General features: G+C 38.8%; 1 annotated feature.

The window, feature by feature from the left end:
- Positions 16,175–16,676: an enhancer, noted in NCBI's record as "NANOG hESC enhancer chr13:35390151-35390652 (GRCh37/hg19 assembly coordinates)". NCBI's record gives its function as "activates a minimal SCP1, AML or CMV promoter by ChIP-STARR-seq in naive H9 embryonic stem cells {active_cell/tissue: H9 hESC(naive)}" and the evidence as "EXISTENCE:reporter gene assay evidence [ECO:0000049][PMID:30033119]".

The raw sequence follows: 19,887 nt of genomic DNA, 5'->3' as shown, positions 1-19,887 counted from the left end.
ATGTACAGGAGATGCCAAAAAGTGTTACTAGTTAAGTAAATGGATACTCAGTGTTATTAAAATCTGCAAGTGCTTCATGACTATCATCTTGCCAATCACCACAATTCTGTCTCAGGAAGAAAATGCCTGATTTTCACTTAATCTATGGAGAAAGCAGAGGGAAGTTATGTGTTTTCTCCAAAGACCCATGCAAATTGACCCTCTTTTTTTTTTTTTTTTTTTTGGGACGGAGTCTTGCTCTGTCGCCCAGGCTGGAATGCAGTGGCATGCTCTCGGCTCACTGCAAGCTCCGCCTCCCGGGTTCACACCATTCTCCTGCCTTAGCCTCCCGAGTAGCTGGGTCTACAGGTGCCTGCCACCATTCCCGGCTAATTTTTTATATTTTTAGTAGAGACGGGGTTTCACTGTGTTAGCCAGGATGGTCTCAATCTCCTGACCTCGTGATCCGCCCGCCTTGGCCTCCCAAGTTGCTGGGATTACAGGTGTGAGCCACCGTGCCCGGCCTAATCTGACCTCTTATAGTCTGTATCTCTAGGAAGAATACTGAATTTGATCCATGCTTAAATTAAATAGAAAAGTTAATTATTTTTATTATTTCAAATTTTAGGGCTGGGCAATGCTTATTTTGATTTTGATATTTAACGGAAGAGAAGAAAATCTGAACTATCAGATGGAAGTAGTGTTAGACACAATTTCCAGGGCTTGCACCAACCTGCTTCCCCAGGCACTTTGTTAAAAGCATTTCAGACTTAACAAAGGCTCTACAGAAGAAAATGATGGAAAGAAGAATCATGTACAGGAGATGGCATGAAGCTATTAGTAAAGAGTAGTTCTGGAAGAATTGAAAGTAGCCTTCCAGAGATTCTAGAGTCTGGAAGTAGGTTTCCAGAGATTGTAGAGTCTGGAAGTAGGTTTCCAGAGATTGGAGAAGCAGTGAAGGCATTTTGCCATCTCTTAGTTGGGAACAATCCGTCAATGTTAGACACTGAGATTCCTTAAGTGAATTTTTTTCTATTCAGTGGGAGTAAATTGGGCTCGGAGGACAATTGTGGTGCTTTGCTAAATCTTGGAGGGAAGACTTAGAGTTAAGAATGCTTAACTCTACATTTGAAAGCAGGCCACTGAATCAGTGGGCTGGGCGTGGTGGCTCACTACTGTAATCCCAGCAGCCGAGGCAGGAGGATCACGAGGTCAAGAAATAGAGACCATCCTGGCCAATATGGTGAAACCCCGTCTCTACTAAAAATACAAAAATTAGCTGGGCGTGGTGGCGCGTGCTGGTAGTCCCAGCTACTCGGGAGACTGAGGTAGGAGAATCGCTTGAACCCAGGAGGCGGAGGTTGCAGTGAGCTGAGATGGCACTACTGCACTGCAGCCTGGCAACAGAGTGAGACTCCACCAAAAAAAAAAAAAAAAAAAAAGGAAGATTCAGTGTTGCTGCCTCTCCTACAGCATGGAACAGAAATTGAGTTTCTGTGTGTCACTTTGTTAGAATAATTCAATATTTATTTAATAGTCAATCATTTGTTTATTCCTTCAGCAAACATCATACTAACTATTGAGAATATCTAATAAGACACAAATTCTTCCTTTGAGGATGAATCTCTGTGTGTGCAAAGATTTATCTGTAAACGGGTAGATTAGGGAAGGCTAAAAGAGGACATCACTGATTGGAAATCTTATAGTAACAACATTGTATGGTGGCTACAGAGAGGTTGTATAGAGAGGATTTTTGATAAATTAGAAAGAAAATCTTGGTTCAGTAGGAACCCGCCTGGTCTAAAAGAAAACACCTCTTAGTTGAAGATATTGAACCAGGTAATCAGAGGATAGCATGAGTGGTCATGTGACCTAAACTTACACTTCACTGCGGAACTTCTTGGAGAAAAGTGAGTAGAACATGTTCTGCAGTGACCATCCCAGCAGACCCTTGTCTCATGGAAGAACTTAGTATTAAAATATTTCTCATACTAAGCCAGTAAGTGATAAGGAAGGACAGTTATTATGGAACTTTTGGGAATATTAGGTGGCTATAACTATCTCTAGATAATATATAATATTTATTTCATTTTTAGTCCTAGTAAAATAATTCTTCTGAGATTTCCTTAGGTTTCTGAGTGGGGTCTTAGGTCAAAAGCCAAGTATGACATTATCATACAACATGGACAACAAAGAATTTTATGAAGAAAAACTAAGAATGAGGACTATATAAAATTTTATAAATTCCTTACTCATTCATCCGTCTATTCATTGATTCATTCATAAAATATTTATCAAGTATCTCCTACATACCAGGCATTATGTCTACCATTGAAGGCATAGCAGCAAACCCTATCTTAAGAAGTGTGCAGTGGCCAGGCGCGGTGGCTCACGCCTGTAATTCCAGCACTTTGGGAGACCCAGGCGGGCAGATCACGAGGTCAGGAGACCAAGACCATACTGGCTAACACGGTGAAACCCTGTCTCTACTAAAAAATACAAAAAATTATCTGGGCGTGGTGGCAGGCACCTGTAGTCCCAGCTACTCAGGAGGCTGAGGCAGGAGAATGGCATGAACCCAGGAGGCAGAGCTTGCAGTGAGCCGAGATCATGCCACTGTACTCCAGCCTGGGGGACAGAGCGAGACTCCGTCTCAAAAAAAAAAAAAAAAAAAAAAAGAAGTGTGTAGTGTTGCTTCCTCAGGCAGGAATGAAGAAAAAATATTATGAAACCCCTTTCTCTTAAAGTCTATCTACTGAGGTGAGATTTAGAAGTAGGGCCACGATATTCACAAAAGATTGTTGCTCTTTGTCCTGCCCAAGCCAGCTTTATGAGAACTTACAGCCATCCCCTAAGAGTTCTGCATAACCCTGGGGATATCTTGCATCTGTTCCACATGGAATTTACAGTTTTCCCCTTCTTCTCCACAATACAGTGACAAGGTCTTTTATTTCTGCTTAAGTTAATAGCAGCAACTCTGCTGCCTTGTCACCTGCCATTTTGCTGATACCTCCAAAAACTACCCACCCTGTTCTCTTCCACCCTTTTCTTCTTATTTTGCTGAGAAACTAGAAACCTTCATAAGAGAATTCCTTCATGTTTCCAAAACCAAGTCTTCCAGTCTCTTAGCAATGTTACAATGGACAGACTCCTCCACTGCTTTTTAAGGCCAACTTCTCCACTTGAGCTCTGGATTCCATCCTCTCATAGTTTCCATTTACTTGGGCATTTGGCTCCAGGAATGATCTCTTCTTTTTTTTCTGTTTTTCTCTCCTGTGAGTATCATCAGTATGAAAACATAATGCACACAGAATGCTTAGGGGAGAGCCCGTGGACAGTGAAGGCTTACTGCATGTTGGCTATTGGTGTTGTTATTACCATCATTATCATTATCATCTTCTTCAGGATCTCTTTACTGAGCTTTGTCATAGTAAGAAGCATCAGACCTTTCCTATTCAAGTGCTGAAAAAGTTTACTCCAAAGATTGTCACCAGGACCAACAGTTAATTATACAAAGATCACAAGAATGGAAAGCAGACTCTTAGTATGTTCTGCCTTTATGTAAAATTTTTTTCAGGAAATAAATATGAAGAGAGAATGAGCCACACCATAAGGTACTCGTGCTTGCATGGTGGTTAATGGGGAGAGCCAAACAGAGAAGATATAATTTTAAGTGTTGCCTTCCATGACAATTTATTTGGAGAAATCCTAAAACTGCAAGTGGAAAAATAGCTAAAAAAAAAATCTTAGCTCAAGAGGAAGAAAAATTTTTTGAGTGTGAGGATAGCACAGGACATGCCTTTTCTCTTCAAGGAGTTGCTCTAAATTGTAAGAACATACAGAATTTAAAAAAATACAACAAGGGGATTTATTTGTGGGTTCTCATTGTTATTTACATGGCTAGTCCTAAAAATTTACCATTCTGAAGTAATACAGTTTAAAATTAAGTATAACAGTTACTTTGATTTGAGGGTCAGATATTCAAAGACTTCTGGTGCTCCTATGTTGCGAGTTTGGAATCCTTGTGGACTGGCTAGAAGGCATGCTGAAACTATATTCAAGTACAGAGAAAGGTATAGGCTGGGAATTCTCAGGACTGGGACTCTGAAAAATCACCCAGGAGCAAGACTGACCACTAGAGTGGATGCTTTAATTTTTGCAATACTGTGTCTACTCTCCCTTCTTGTTGTAACAGCATTCCAGCTGTGCTGTGGACAATCACTCCTCTTCCATTGGATATAGTCAATAGTGGTGCTTGTCTTCCTCTGGCCAGTGGGTGAGCACATGACCTAAGCTTGTCCAATTTGATGTCTTCTCCCTGGAATTGAAGTCTTGGGGAATGCATTCAAAGTAGAGTCACCTCAGTAGTGGCCTCCTCGAGAGCTTTCCCCTTCATTTCTGCTACCTCAATGCCCAGGACAGCTCTGGTTTTTGGCCTTCTGATTTTTGAAACGTTAGATTTTCTTTTAGCTCTGTGAACTACTCAACTTTTTTCCCAGTGTGCTTAATTTTTCTTCCACTAAAGAAGCTCAAAATGATTTTTGTTGTAAGCAACCAAAGAATCTTAATGGACACACACTCCCACCCTAAGTGAGAAGACAACTGGCAGTTAGCCAGCAGTAGTTGAGATGTGGGTACCTTCCCCAGGAAATGATGTTTTCTGGGGGTTCAATTTGAGGGTGAGGTGAAATGAGAGGCAAATCTTATGATAGAATAGGACTCCATCTTGCAGTGGAAGTTCTGAGGGCTGAGCCCTTTGATCCCTGGGAAGAGTGAGGATGGGAGTGGGAGAATTTGTAAGAGCTAGGCCAATGAATTGGGATCCTGGAAAAACTACTTGGGGTTAGGAGAGTACTCCAGTCTCAATAGAAATTGAGATTCACTCCTAAAACCAAAGCAACCAAATGGAGTGGTGGCGATAACATTACAGCTTGGGGTAGCACCTTCCTTGGGGCTCCCTCAGGCTCATAAAGTCATGGATTTAAGGAAGTAAGACCAATTCAAGAATGACCCATCCAGGGGCAACGGAGTGCCCAGCAGTATGATATAGAGGAGTCAGATGGAACTGGCTTCAAAACCTGTGCTCAAAATCTGGGCTCTTCCCCTAGTGATGATGAGAATTTGGGGAATTTTTGAGGGGTGAGATAAATATTTCTTCCTCTGGGATGTTTTTCCTGCATTTCCCCTTTTCCGTCTCCCAGTGCTATGCTGGAGACTGGGTTTTGATGCCTCTGCTCTGTGCCCTAATGGTGATCTTTGTGTTCCCTGTCACAATGCTTGTGAACTTCATGTTACTGCATCATTTGTTTATCTCCCCAACCAGATTGTAAACTTCACACAGCAGCAATCTTGTCTTTCTTGTTCGCCTTTGTATTTTCAACATCAAGCACAGTGCCTGACACATAACAAAAATGTGTTGACTATGGAATAACTAAAAAGGAAGCGGAGGAGATATAAGAGAGATGGAAGATGATCCTGCGCAAAGCAAATCCATGAAAAGTTCTTTTTACTTCCCGCTGTCTTACATTAAGTAGTGTATTTATGAAGTGTTATTATCTGAGGTCAATTCTAAGTGACAACCATAAGAGGCCCCCTGGCAGTAATTATGGGACTCTTAATAAGTTAAAACTTTCCTAAAGCCCGTGAAATATTTTCACATAGGGTGTTTTTTATTATACCAGACCAATCTGTAAGAAAATGTTCAACTTCACAATGACACATTACAATTTTAATAGCACCTATTAAAGGGCTTTGCACATAATAGTTGTTCAGCAACTATTTGTTGATGGAGCAAATATATTAAGCAAAATTGGCCACTTTTCATAAAACATTTTAAAGGCTAAGAATGTCTATTTACTATTTAATTATACAACAGCTCTTTATTGCAAAAGATTAAATGAGAATGTTTTAAAGGGAAAGAACTTTTTTTTCCTGATATAAACTTTGTGTCATAACCTATTCTTGCTCATTTAACCAATAAAGCTTGGATTTTCAACTGGATTGCAACACATGTTGTCACCTGACACATTCTTTCATAAAGAAGCTTTGATAAATCTGAACTGCACACATTAGCTGCGTTAAGGTCTTAATCCTACATGAAAGGATATGCCCATTTGCTTAGCAAGAAAGGGTCACTTTCTTCCTCTTGCTAGAAAAGCTTGTAATATGTTAAAAGGTAGATTTGCCAGCAGACTTCTGTCTTTATAAATCATCATAGACAGTGATTCTTTGCAAAACAAGTTTCACGTAATATTTATGTAAGCTGCACATGACCTCAGTGGAAAGCAAAGGTCAGAAAAAACAGCATCCCTATTGTTTGACAGAACTCTTCTGTATTTTTGTCTGTTATTACTTACTCAGTTTGTATTTTTTTTATGTTGTATGGAATAGAAGTTGTTTATTTTAAAGCTAGGCTACAAGGAAGTATAACATTTCTTTTTAGAGTCAATACTATTTTATTCTTTACTTGTAGAAAATCTCTTTCAACAAAGAGGAACACCAGTGGCAGAGCTGAGGATAGAATGAGTGTGGGTAAGTAGAAGAGTAAGATGTCCTCTAGCCACTCACAGAGTTGATTCTGGGGAGCGTTATGGCAGCAAATGGAGAAGATCAGTGTTCTAATGGTCGTGTTTAATAAACATGCACCGGCTGGGCGGAGTGGCTCACGCCTGTAATCCCAGCACTTTGGGAGGCTGAGGCAGGCAGATCACCTGAGGTCGGGAGTTCAAGATCAGCCTGACCATCATGGAGAAACCCTGTCTCTACTAAAAATACACAATTAGCCGGGTGTGGTGGCGCATGCCTGTAATCCCAGCTACTCGGGAGGCTGAGGTAGTCTCAGAGATTGCAGTGAGCTGAGATTGCGCCATTGCACTCCAGCCTGTGTAACAAGAGCAAAACTCTGTCTCAAAAAAAAAAAAATAAAATAAAATAAAAATAAACATGTACCTTATTCCAATGTTTCAGTTGAAAAGAAAATCTATATAGTAATGACAGACAATGATATGGGATTCTAGCCTGGCCTGTAGAATTTATTAGCTGTAGGACTTTGGGCAATTTATTTAACTTCTCAACTTCTTTGAACTTTTGATTGCCCATAAAATGAAATATAGAGTCCTGAGCTGGCTGTCCTGCAGGAGAAGGCTTCTGCTATCTTTCCTGCTTTCCACTCCCTCCCTAGCACTTTAAGATTCACTCATATTCATTCCATATTACCTCTGCTTATTTTCTTAATCATGCTTTCTGCAATAATCTCTTTTGTTTGTTGGTTTATTTATTTTGCTTGCCTTCACCAGAATATAGGTTCCATGACAGAGGGATCTTGGGTCTTATTCTTACCGTATACCAAACACTAGATCAATGCCAGGAAATTAACTGGTATATAAAAATAACTGGTGGATGACTTCTGGGTATATACTCAAAATAATTGAAAACAAAGACTAGAACAGATATCTATACACACATGTTCATAGCAGCATTATTTATAGTAGCCAAAAGGTGGAAGCAACCCAAGTTTCCACTGATACATAAAAAATGCGATATATACATACAATGGAATATTATTTAACCTTAAAAGGAAGGAAAATATGACACAAGGTACAACATGAATGAACCTTGAAAACATTATGAAGCGAAATAAGCCGGACACAAGTGGACAAATATTGTATGATTCCCACTTATGAGTAGATAGTAGAGTATTCAGACAGAGAGTAGAAAGGAGAATGGTGGTTTCCAGGGGCTGGGGGAGAGGGGAATGGGGAGTTGTTGTTTAATGTACAGAGTTCCAGTTTGGGAAGAGAAAAAAGTTCTGGAGATGGATGGTGGAGATGGTTGCACAACAATGCGAATGTACTTAATGCCACAGAACTGTACACTTAAAAGGGATTAAAATGGTGCATTTTGTGTTACGTCTATTTTATCACACTAAGGTATTGGCAAATGAATCAATGTGGAGGTCCTTCACCTAAGCAGTTGTCACTTCCTGGAACACCATTCTTTGTCATTGCTCCACCTCCACCATACTGTCCCCTCATTCTTCCACCTGGCCAACTCCTATTCATGTAGCAGCTTTTAGCTTAGATCAAGGTTTCTCATCGGTAGCACTTTTGACATTTTGGACTGTGTAATTCTTAGTTGTTGGGGGCTATCCTGTGGTGAGACTTGGAAAGGGGTTTAGTAGCATCTCTGTCTTCTCACCAGAGCCCAGTAGCAAGTGCTCGCCCAGTTGTGGTAATCAAACTTGTCTCCAGATATTGGGAAATGCCCTAGGGATGGGGTAGGGCCAGCAAAATTGCCACTGGTTAAGAAACATTTGTTTGGATGTTACTCTCGCTATCTCCAAAAGTCTGGGCTAAGAGCTGCTTCTAGCCTAGTGCCTCTGTTCCACCCTATATTTTCCAGTCAGGATATTCATTCTGCTCTGAGGCCACCACAGCATCTCCACCACTAGACTGGCAACCGTAGCACCTGACACAGGACCTGGAATTCAGTAGGTGCTCAATATATATATAGTTCTAAGGAATGGTGTAGGAAGGTAATAGACTAGGGAAGGGTTCACAAAAAATGTATTATTTGCATTAAATCTTTAGGAATGAATGAAGTATCTTAGGTGAAGAAAGTGGGAAGGATAATCAAGAAGAAAGAACAGAATGTTCAAGTTATGGAGTGATGCAACGGTATAGTACGTTCAGCAAATTGTGAGTTTTGCTACATAAGTAGGATATGAAATTGATGTCAGGAAGGTAAATGCAGGAAAAAAGGTGGGGCCTTTTTTCTGTGAGACTTAGAGGTTTGGCTTTGAGGGCTTTGAGCAGAGGAATGATATGTATTTCAGGAAGATTCCTTGGGAAGCTATTTGCAGAATAGGCTGGGGCAGGAACACTATTGGAGGCAGGATGCAGGGAAGATTTAAGAGACTACTGCAACAACCTAAGGGAGAAATGGTGAGCTGAGGTACAAGCTATGGAGAGAAGCAGATGGATTAGAGAGATTGTGGTTGCTCACTTGTGACAGGAACCCAATTAACCTTAGTTGAATGGGACACAATGTGGGGAGGAGAGAATTGAACATAATTAAGCATTCTTGGTTTGGGTGAACAGGAAGGAAGTGAGCATGCTTTTCAGTGAATGCAGAGAGTTTGTCACCGGTGTGTTTAGTCTCTACCTCTATTTAGGAGCAGAAAACACATGATAATCTATATTCTGATATATTCCTTCACTTTCATCCATCCACTCACCCATTCATTCAACAAGTATTTATTGAGTATCATTGATGTTGCAAGCACTGGGATAGGCACTGTGGACTCCACGGTGAAGTAGGCAACTTGCAGTCTAAGCAGGATAGCAGACATAAGACAAACAGTTACAGAATAATTAATACAGTCAGGATGAGCACTCTGATGAACAAGCCCAGGATATTTTAGGATAGGAAAGGTTTAGGGGGCATGTGGGCCAAGAAGAGAGGTGGTGTGGAATAGTGAGCATTATTGGAGTAGGGGGAATAAAACTTGTTTATTTCTGAAGAGCATTGCGTTAAAAAAAATCTAACACACTATCCAGGTTTCATCAAGGCCAGTGTACTTATGTCTTGCAGACATTATGCTAGGGTGTCATTGTTGTAAACTTTCCTCTATGCAGGGCAAAACCTATCCATTCATCCTCCCTTCTGCTGCTTTTAGTAGAGATCCTTCTGATTAATTATTAACTAGCAAATGTATCTCTAGAACACCACACTAAGTGGTAACATATTAAGGAAGATGAATTTGAGGTGCTATTCACACTTCTTGAGGGAAGGAAGCTGAACTTTGCTGACAACCAATCCCATTAATCACTTTGTTAGATTTACTATGTGGTTTAGTTTGTTTTTCAGTGGGGATTCTTTTCTCCATTTGAAAATAGATACTTTCTACAGATAAAGGAAATGCCTACAAGATTTACAGTGATGCCAGCCATACTAATTTATAGAGAAAGGCTACAGGGGTTACTAGGAGGAATGTTTATGTGTCTGTATACCAGTCTAAGTCCTACACTGGTCTTGGCTATCATTTCCAAATGACACGTCTCCAGGTATATCAAACTAATTAAAGAAACCTGAAATAAAGTACAATATTTAATTGGTCTACAGCAGTGTTTTTCAAGCTGCAGATTGCAACTCATTAGTGATTTGTGAAATCAATTTAGTGGGTTGTGATGAGCATTTTTTAAAAGAGAAAATAGGATAGGAAGAGGGCAACATATCAGAGAATACTGCACACATAAAAAATAACTAGTGTTTTGCAAAAGTTTGTTTTTTATATGTACATATACACATATATGTAATATGCATATGTATGTAATACATATTATGCACACATACATGTAATGCACATATGTGTATGTATTATGTGTTTTCACACATACAGACTTATTTATTTAGGCATATACTTGGTTAATATGTAAAATGTCACCGATGTTTTAAACCTACAGACCCGGGAAAAGAGTTCTAGAAAAAGCTCCTTTCAGTCAGATCTGCCATTAATATACCAATCACAAATTAATTTTTTGTTATTCCTTAAAGCATATTGGGAACTACTGAAACTGCTTCAGTGGAAAATTATGTAATGAATTTAAGCTGTAAATGAATGCTGGGTAAAACAAGAAAGTAAACTTTCTCTTGATTAGGTAAATATATATTTGATATACTAAATAAAGGTATTTAAAACCCTTAAGTCTTACTAATTTTCTTATTTTTGAAGAGTTCTATTTCTTTTTACATTAAGGAATTCTGTATCAAATATAAGAGAGGGGTTTTTATTTTTGTAAATACACTAAATATGGTAACCCAGAGGAGATTAGTGATTCAGGCTTTTGAGTTCTGTCTTTATACCTGACAACAGATTGGTTTGTATTCTATGATGGTACATTATGAATGCCTTTTTCTCTGCCCCATATTTAATTGTTTACGAATAGAAATACTGTTATTTATTTGATTTATTGTGCTTTATAGATAGATATTTTTAACATAGCCAATTGAAATTATAGTTTTCAGTCACAACTATTGACTGGCATTCTTTTCTATTTCTACCATATGAAAAGGCAAAGCTATGGGTAACATTTTGTTCTAAACAAATAAAACACATCAATGTGCCTATCTGTATCATCATGACCATTCTTCAGAGACTCCTGCTTTTGACTTCTTATGGAAATTTTAATTCATTGCTTTTTAACATCAGTCTCATCATTTTCACTCTTCTCTGCCCAGTCTCAAACACAGCCTTCTAGTACCATGACTAGGCCTGAAAAACAAGTGGCTGTTTCTATATAAATCCTCAGGGTTGATTCTACTTAATAGTATACAGATGCTGGTCATTTAATGCCTTCCTACAACCCCATTTTAGAAATCTTGCCTCACTCCTAGTCTGGAAGGGGCAACCTTATTGCTATCTGATTCCTCCCCCTGAACAGAGCTGATTGGAGATGGGTTGGTGCTTGACCAAAGCTGGGTCAATCAGAGTGGAGGCATTGTTGGCATTAAGATAACTTGGTCTTGTCAAGCTGGAGTGGGTGTCAGTAAGTGCTATGGCAAACCAGAGCTGTCTACCTATCAGGGATTAGGGGAAGAAGAAACAACAGTTTTGAAGAGAAAGTTAGAAAGCTAGAGGCCAGAGCAGAGAGGCAGAATTGAGGGAAGCCACGTGGCTTTGAGAGGTGGAGGGCAATGTAATGGTTAATATTGAGCATCAACTTGACTGGATTGAAGGATACAAAGTATTGTTCTTTGGTCTGTCTGTGAGGGTATTTCCAAAGGAGATTAACATTTGAGTCAGTGGACTAAGAAAGGCAGAGCCACTCTCAATCTGGGTGGGCACCATCTAATCAGCAGCCAGTGCTGCCAGAATAAAAGCAGGCAGAAGAACATAGACTAGACTAAGTCTTCTGGCCTTCATCTTTCTTTCGTGCTGGATGCTTCCTAACTTTGAACATTGGACTCCAGGTTCTTCAGCTTTTGGACTCTTGGACCTACACTAGTGGTTTGCCAGGGGCTCTCGGGCCTTTGGCCATAGACTGAAGATTGCACTGTCAGCTTCCCTACTTTTGAGGTTTTGGGACTCGGACTGGCTTCCTTTCTCCTCAGCTTGCAGACGGCCTATTGTGGGGCTTCACCTTATGATTGTGTGAGTCAATACTCTTTAATAAACTTCCTTTCATATATACACCTATCCTATTAGTCCTGTCCCTCTAGAGAATCCTGACTAATAGAAGAAACATTCTCTTCCAGCTCCTGGTCTTGTGTGAATTTGTCTCTGCTTTACTTTCATCTCTGGAGGCTCTGAGATCCCACTTTTACTTAATGATGTGGTTTGGCTATGTCAGCACCCAAATCTCGTCTTGAATTGTGGCTCTCATATTTCCCAGGTGTTGTGGGAGGGACTCTGTAGGAGGTAATTGAATCGTGGGGGCGGATCTCTCCCGTGTTTTTCTCGTGATAGCAGATAACTCTCACGAGATTTGATGGTTTTATCAAGGGGAGTTCCCCTGCACATGCTCTCTTGCCTGCCGCCAGGTAAGATGCACCTTTGCTCCTCATTTGCCTTCCACCGTGATTGTGAGGCCTCCCATGGCCTCACAGCTATGTGGAACTGTGAGTCCATTAAATCTCTTTCCTTTATAAATTCCCCAGTCTCGGATATGTCTTTCTTAGCTGCGTGAGAAGAGACTAATACACTTAAGCTACCTGAAGTGGTTTTGTTTCTGTAAACTGTGAATTTCTTAAATGTGCCCCAATTAAGATATTTCCCTTTGTCTCATTCACTTTTTTCCTCCCCCAACTCAATTTATTCATCTTATTTAATCTTGATCTATTTCTCTGGGATTTGCAACCATCTTATTTCTTCTCTCTCCCTGTAATTCATCCTGAAAGTCTTGTTTCTCATCAAACTGAAAAATATTGGCAATGGTAGAAAACCAAAATAAAGACAAAGAAGAATGATCATGTTATTTAGGCAAAGTTGAACGGAAATGTGTTCACATTTTTGAATTAAGAAATAAAAAAAAGAGTCAGGACTCACCACTTATTCAACATATGGTAGTAAAACTCATCTCTGTGTCTCTTTTTACTTCTAGAAACTATCCCAGTTCTTTTGTGAACACATCTTTTTAAAAAATTTTTGGTCAACATATAAAGTTGAAGATGTAATTCCTACAAAATAAGATTGTGTAGAGCAATGCAACTTTCGATTAGAACTGATCTTTCTTTAGAGTCTGAAATCACAGTTGCTTTGAACAGGACTTTGCCTTAAAAAAGGAGTTAATTTCATACCAGAATTAAAGGGTCAGTACTTAACATAGGATTTTCTCCTTGGTAAACAACTAGTCTCCAAGAAATATGATTTCAAATAACTCAGTATGCTGATAGTTACTAATGTTATTATGAATATTACCTTTATGAAAATTTTTATTCTGTTGATCAAATATACACTTATTTTAATTATTATCAATATTAAAAAATTTAAGGATTATAGAGGTTTTTGTGGCCTAGGAACATTAAGTGATAGCTTAAAGAAAAAGCCTAAATCTTCTGTCTTAGCATTTAAGAATGATAATTGTGTGTTATGGTTTGAATGTGTCTCCCAAAGTTCACGTGTTAGAAACTTGATCTCCAATATTAGATGTTGAGAGGTAGGACCTAATGGGATGTGTTGGGGTCATGGGGGAACCCTCCTCATGAATTGATGAATGCTATTGTTTTGGGAGTGCATTTGCTATCTCAGGAATGGGCTCCTAATAAAATGGTGAGTCTGGCCCCCTCTTGCCCTCTCTTGCCCTCTCTTGCCTTTTTGCCTCCTGCCATGGGATGACACAGCAAGAAGGCCCTTGCTAGATGCTGGAGCCTTGATCTTGGACTTCCTAGCCTCCATAACTGTGAGGAATACATTTCTGTTCATTGTAAATTATGCGGTCTCAGGTATTCTGTTAATAGCAGCACAAATAGATAGACTAAAACAAGTGCTCAATAAAAACCCTACATATAACCAAATTACAGTAATGATACTCGTAGAAAAGACAATTTTAAATCCATTTATCAGATTCTTTTTTAACAATTTCAAAGATCTTAAGTAATTATGCCATTAATTATTTTATTCAGGCCATTGGTGAAGAATATAAGAACAAATGATTTATAGAAAAACACATTGGCTGGGTGCAGTGGCCCACACCAGTAGTCTCAGAACTTTGGGAGGCTGAGGTGGGAAGATCGCTGGAGGCCAGGCATTCAGGACCAGCCTGGGAAACATGGCAAGTTCCCGTCTCAACAAAAGGTTAAAAAAATTAGCTGGCTGTGGTGGTGCATGCATGTGGTCCCAGCTACTGAGGAGGTTGAGGCAGGAGGATCAGTTAAACCCAGAAGTTCCAGTCTACAGTGAGCTAGGATCACACCACTGCACTCCAGCAACAGAGCATGGCCCTGTCTCAAAAAAAAAAAAAAAAAAAAAAAAAAAAAAAATATATATATATATATATATATATATATGTACTAAAAAATAAGAAAAAAAATTGGGAAGTAAGACATCTACAGGGTACACACTTTCCACTACATAAGCAGCCCTCATTCTATGGCTTCTGTGGCCAAGAGTTCTACGCATTATACCTACATTGATGAGAATAATGCACCTTAGAACTTCCGAATTCAGTTTCAGCTGTGTCATAGACTGTGTGTAGTCAAAGTTATTTTTTTCTTTATATCTCTATTCTTTGGTACAGTGATTGAAACTAAACTATTTCTTTCACATGATAGAAGGTGCTTTGAAAATAAAGAAATGAGATACATGTTAAATATTTGCATTGGGTTGTAAACATAGGGTAAGATGTGATTTACCGTTGTTTGCATGTTATGAAAAATGTCTGTATTGTACCTATGTGGAGCAAAACTAATATACTGAAAGGAATTAGGTGAGATTAAAAGCAATAGGTACACAGCAAGGTATTCCTTAAGGAGATAGTTATTTGCAGCTTATTGTGCATAAACAATTATTATGTGATCTATTGAGCTACTTTTATGCATTTTCTTTGCATAGTCCTTGATTGTGAGGTTGAGAAAGGCCATTTTTGCCTGTTGAGTGTCACTAGTAAAAATGGCTGGAATTTAACTCCAGGGGATTCTCTGAGTGTAGTTGATAATTGATCCACATTAAAATGAGCTTTGTGAATGAGACTGACGAAGTCCATTACACCAGCGTGTCTAAAATAATTATCCCACTGTTAAGAATACATTCCTGAAGAACTGGTCTTGTACATACCAAAGAGACAGAAACAGTTGGGGGTTCTCCCAGTTCATTTATATTCACTGTCAAAATCTGACCATCATAATAAAGCACTCCCTCAGTCCAAAGGAAAGAGATGTTATCGTGATTCCTGTTCCATTCTATTTAAAAGTACATCATCCATTCCATTGCATCTGCATTCACCATCACGCAACCTACAGTCCTGTTGATATTCAGTCCTTAGGAGAATACTAATCCTTCTATGAGACTTAGAAGTGCTGAGTATATGTTATTCTATGGAGTGACCTTGCGTTTATTTTTTTTTTTTCTGGTAAGTGGAAAGAGGCCAGAGGTGGGCACTCTGAAACACAACTGCACGGCCCAGGCATTGTAGGCACTATAAAGAAGAATGCTGAAGAGAACTGAATGTGCTGATTAACAAAGATGCCACAGGAAAGAAATTTCTAGAGTAAAATGTCCTGACTTTAAAAGGATCTTTTCTTTGGTTGGTTTATTTTTTATTTGTTTGTTTGTTTTAAAATAATTGAAATGGCTGTACTTGTGAGAGACAGCATCCTGTTAGCCACAATCTTTTTCAAGGAAGGAGAGAAAATGCATTTGTTTTGCCTATTTGACTTGAGAGCTGTGAGGCTGCCAAAGAACAAGACTGGAATTCCCCTGCAGCAATAAATATTGCTGTGGATTGAAGAAAGAAACATTTCTTTTCCCAAAGTGCACTCTTTATAAATAGAAAGCAGATGCAGAAACAGAAGAGTGAGATACTACTCTTTCTGAGAAGAGGAGCTCAGTTGGAAGCTCCAAGACATTGGAATCCAGAGATTAAGGCAGAAAAGGGGCCAATATGGTCAGAGATTCTTTCTCTAATAATAGGTATTCACATGAGTTGGTTGGCTCCGTTTGCGTGATACACATCTAAAAAGAATATTTATGTTCCCAATAGAAGGCATATTGTCTTCCTATGAGTTACAGAAGAGAACTCACTGCCTCAGTCACCTTTGTTTAGACACTTCAGTTTGTTCCCAGGATCTGACAAGGAGTGCTTTAAAATGGCTGTGAACTGAATGTGCTTTTTGGTAACCAACATGCAATGCAAATGAGTACCCCAAATATTCCTCCCAGGGGCAGAATTCAAGCAGTGTGGGTTGCCTGGAGTGCCTATTTGCATGTCAATCCCTGTGGTCTTCCTACTCAAAGTTACATCACTTGATAGCTAAATTTTAGTTCCAGAAGTAAATTCCTGACTTTAGAGAGCAGAAGCATAGACTTGGTGTCTCCTCCTTACTTTTGGTAACCTCTCTCATTACCTTTTTACTCTACTGTACATGCACTTCTGATAAGCACCAAAGCCTTTCCGTTTCTAGGGACCAATAGAAAACTTTGCCTTCACCCTCTAAATGTTTGCTGAAAATCAACTGACAAAAGGCAGATTAGCGGGAGAAAAGGCACACAAATTTATTAACATGCACAGGGGAGAATCACAGAGTGATTATCCCACCACGAATTGGGATAGAGATGCTGACATACCCTTCTTAGGGAAAAGGAAGATGGGGAAATGTGGATTATTTTAGGGAGGTAATAAATGATTTTTAGGGGAATTCAACGGTCTTGAAGAATGTACAAAGGCCTGGACAAAGTCTGTTGGGCTTGCAGAGCAGACAGTGGTTTGTGACAAATCTGTCCAGATATGTAGACAGACTTTGATCTTTCTTCCTGCGATGAGTTAATCAAAATTCAGTAAGGGACCAGAGGTCATTTTTTTCTTTTTGGCAAGTCTGGACTTGAGGCAGATAAGGGAAGTTCAGAGAATGACTTCCTCCTGTGCTTTGGAAAAGGAAGGATTGAGAACAGGCAGCAGGAATGGTTGGAGAGATCTTGAGGCTTCTGCAGTTCAGCAGGTGAAAGCCCCACATTTTGGGGTTATTGGCTTCTGAGCCCCAACAAGTTCCCCTGGGAAACTGTTCTATGGTTTCCTTTTTCTTACTTTACTATTTATCAGATTTTCAGAGTGCATGCCCCGCTTTGCGGTACTTCAAATAGATGTGAAACATGCTTCTTGTCACATCTCCAATGATTGAATTGTCTCAAGTGAGATCATTAAAAGTGAGGGACTGCCAGGTACAGTGGTATGTGCCTGTACTCCCAGCTACTCAGGAGGCTGAGGTGGGAGGATTGCTTGAGCCCAAGAGTTCAAGGCCAGCCTGGGCAAGATGTCTCAAAAAAAAAAAAAAAAAAAAAAAAAAAAAGGAGGTACTAATTGAAGATGGCTCCTGATCTTAGGTTTATTAGTTTTATTTACTAGTTATTTATACTATTCTTCACCTAGAAAAGATTTGAAGGGCTTGTTTCACTCACCTGTGAGTAATTAAGCATCTCCACTGTCCTTATTTGGACCTATTTTTATATGTCCTTTTTCTATTTGGAAATAGTTTGGCATTTTCTTTGGAATATGGATGCAGGGGTAGAGTGGAGATGTGGGCATCACAATGTCTTCAGTCGACAGGTCCTTATTTGAAGTGGTCTGAGGCATATATTTTCATTGTTCCTTTTGCAATTATTTTAACTGTTTGTTTCAGAGTCTATTAGATCTCAGGAGGATATAATCCAATAAAGATTTAATCATACATTTTATATATTCTTTTGACGTGCCTTTTTAAAAAAAAATTAGGAGAAAAATCTTGTTTCTGGCAACTGTGAAATGCCCACTCCATGGGTAATGGCTTATACATTATAGACCTGGTGGACTGAGTTCTTCTCTCATTGAATTGAAAATGACCTTTGAGGCCATAAGAAACCTTTAGTTGGCAACTTTGGGTGTTAAAAAGATTAAAGTATTTAGCACAAGAAAAACTAGAACTTTATTGTAACTTTTTATATTTAGAAATAGTTTGGCCTTTTCTTTGGAATATGGATGCAGGGGTCGAGTGGAGATGAGCGCATCATCATTTCTTCAGTCAACAGGTCCTAGCAAGGGTTCCATATTTGAAGGGTAATGTTATTGAAATTGAACGTGGGTTTTCAATATAAAAATATGGCACCTGGCAATTTAAAGTTGCAGTACATTCCAAGTTTGAAAAGCAATTATTCTGAAATACCTCACTCAAAATATAGCACTAGTTAAGCTACAGACCAAATAACCAACTTATAAGTGAACTAGAAATCACTGTAGGTAAATGTTTATCTGACTTCAATGTGGAGAAAGCTTTTTAAATTTTAACATGAAGAATATAGGTAGGACTCACTACATTAAAAAAAATTCTATACTTCAAAAAACACTATACTCAATATTAGAAGATAAATATCACATTGAGGGTAAAATTGTAAAATATGTGGCAGGAAAAAGATTACAGCTTTGAAAATATAAAGAGTACCGAACAATCAGCAAGAAACTAATTAAACCTGGTAAATTTAATACAGATGCTTGTCTTTGTTTATTTTTAAAGCCCCACTGAGTAACAATAAAGGAATATTTTAAAAAAGAACCTACAAGGACAAAAGGACGAGAAAGAAGACAACTAATAACTAGAGATATTAATCAAATTTTAGGAGTCAAAAAGCAGATGAACACGTGGGAATTGATGTCACAGAGCAGAGAAAGCTGACACCTAACTGTAAGAGACAAATAAAATAAGAAGTAACAATTGGCTTAACTGAATACTAGAAAGGCCAGGAACTGGAATCACCAAGTACTTCTGAAGGTAGAAGTGTGAACCTAAGTGGAAAACCAGTTTGGTTAAATGTCTTTAAAAGGATAAGCTTGAGACCCTCAGACCTACTTCCCCATATCATACAGTAATGAGACTCCCCTCCCTCGGTCTAGTAAAATATTCAAGTTTTACTTTTTGAAGACATTGAAACATGGAAGAACCAGCCCTAGTAACATCAGGGAAACCTGACGGAAGGGGCAATAGGCCATGGGGTAAGAAAACAATAAGTGGAACTTAACACATAGAAGTGTGAAATTTCTCTTGCCTTTTTTTTCTGCTTGCATCTCAGAAGGATGACAACCAGGTTTACTCCTGTGGGGTTCCCTACAAAATAACCAGGCCTTCTCAAAAACTTCAGAGTGGGATCTTACGGTCAATAAGCTCTTCCCGGACAATAGGCTTACTAGTCCTAGGTTTGCTGTCACACTTTTAAATTTGGATCAATTACCAAGAATCACTGGTATTTGAGAAAAATCTCTCATTAAATGAACCAACAGATGACAGAGGAGGTGATGCAGAAAGCAGAGAAAAGCTTAAAACAAAACTATCATTAGTATCTTCGGAGAGATAAGAAAATATTTTTATTCCAGTAGTAAAAAAATACAATCCAGCTGTATAAAGAGGGGACATATAAAGAACAATAAACAGCCCTTGGATATCAGAAATATGGCAGAAATAAATATAATGGAAAGATTAGAGGATACAGTTGAGGTCACATACCTCTTTAACAAGAGCTATTTGTAGCTCTTGTTAAATTGAGATAAATAGAACAAAAAGATAAAGAATTAGACAATAGGAACAAGTATAAGAAAATATGATTATTCTGAGGTTCTAACATCTGTATAACAGAAATTTCAGATGAGGAGTTCAGAGAAAATAGAAGAAATAATGCAAGAAAAACTTTTCCAAACTGAAAGATACTGACTATAACCACTCAACAAAATTTCC

Source organism: Homo sapiens, chromosome 13 (genome assembly GCF_000001405.40).
Source record: "Homo sapiens chromosome 13, GRCh38.p14 Primary Assembly".
Lineage (NCBI taxonomy): Eukaryota > Metazoa > Chordata > Mammalia > Primates > Hominidae > Homo > Homo sapiens.
The sequence above is the reverse complement of the archived record's forward strand: the minus strand, read 5'-3'. Positions and strand labels throughout refer to the sequence as shown.